Raw genomic sequence first — 1,763 nt, forward strand, 5'->3', positions numbered from 1 at the left:
TTAAAAGGATTATACTCAATGACCAAACATTTATTCCTGGAATGCAAATATAATTTATGACTCAACATACAAATATTAATGTATTATGCTGCATGAACAGATTGAAAGATATAAAAATATAATCCACATGATCATGTCAGTGAATGCAGAAAATTCATTTAACAAAATTCACACTTTCATGATTAAAATACCACTCAACTAAAAAGAAAAGAAACTATCTCAACAAAATAAAGGCTAGATGTGGAAAATTTCAAGAGCTTATTTTCTTATTCAATAGTGAAGGACTGCAAGCTCTTTTTCTAATATCAGGAACACAATGAATTTGCTCCACTTTTCCACCTCTAGTCAACATAGTATTGGAAGTTCTAGGCAGAACAATTAGGTAGAAAAAGGAAATAAACCTGTTAAAATTGGAAACACATAAAACTGTGTCTACATGCTGATGACATGTTCTTATAAGTTCTACAGAATACACAAGAAAAAAACCTCTTAGAGCTAACAAAGTCAAAAAGTTGCTGGAAAAATACCTGTATAGAAGAAGTAGTTTGTATTTCTGCACAAAAAAACAATCTGAAAGGAAAATACTTATCTTGACAATAGCATCAAAAAGAAACAATTACTTAGGAACTGTCATAACCAAGGACAAGAGAAGCACTTGAACACTGAGCTCTGAAACATATTACTGAAGGAAATTAAAAGAGGCACAAATAAATGGAGATATATCCATTATTAATGAGTTGAGAGATAAATTACAAGGCAGTAAATACCACCTAAAATGGTCTACAGATTCACTGCAATCCTTAACGTAATCACAATGATTTTTTTTCAGAAATGGAAAAATCCACCCAAGATTCATGTGAAATATCAAGGGATGCTCTCTTCCATGGTCATAACCTAAACATTGTCATTTCCTAGAAAATACTCTTCGGTAATAATTTGCAGCACTAGTCCGCAACAACTTTCATCTGTATTGCCACCTGAGTCCCATCAGCATACTTGCATCGATAATCTTAGTACCTCGCCAATACCTACAATCCACTGAGGCTATCACCTTTTTGCTCTCTTAATCCCTTATGTCCTCACAGCATCTCTTGTCAGGAGAGGACTGCTCACTTCCTTTTCTATCTTACTTCCCAGAATATGTCCCATGAAAATCTCTAGCTAGACAAAGGCAGAGAAAGAGAATATTTGATTTTTTAGGCTTTATGGAAGAGAAAGGAATGGCAATAGGGGTTTGGAGTAGACCCTGCAAGCACTAGTCAGTAGGGCGTATCCTGAATAAATAGTGGGTAAAGGACATTTGTGGTGATGCTCTGTCCAATTCCACTTCAGGAAAGCCTGCCACAGAGTTAGTCAGAGTGATGTTTTATTAGAATAATGCTGACCTCCATGTTTTTGATTTTTGAATTATTCTCACACTTTGGAATTAAGGAATTTCTCATTACAAATTATGCTTTAGATACTTTGTGTATAATTATGCTCTTGGTTTCTAAGCATTGCTGTCAGGTTATACAGGGCAGTGAGTAGACATATCTGTGAAGCATTAACTCTGGGCATTGTGGTGAGTGTAATGGTAGAAGTATTTTCAATGTGTTGTGAGGGAAGGGAATATACCAATTCATGATAGGTGAGTGGGCTATTGGTATAAGTGAAAGAAGGTCCAGCTGCTTATCTCTTATAGAAAAAAGCCAAAATAACAACAGGAAAGTGTGATAAAAAGAGTGAATTTTATTACTTGTTGCTAGCAAGGGAAAGAGTGATTG

The sequence above is a fragment of the Homo sapiens genome, chromosome 19, assembly GCF_000001405.40.
Source record: "Homo sapiens chromosome 19, GRCh38.p14 Primary Assembly".
NCBI lineage: Eukaryota > Metazoa > Chordata > Mammalia > Primates > Hominidae > Homo > Homo sapiens.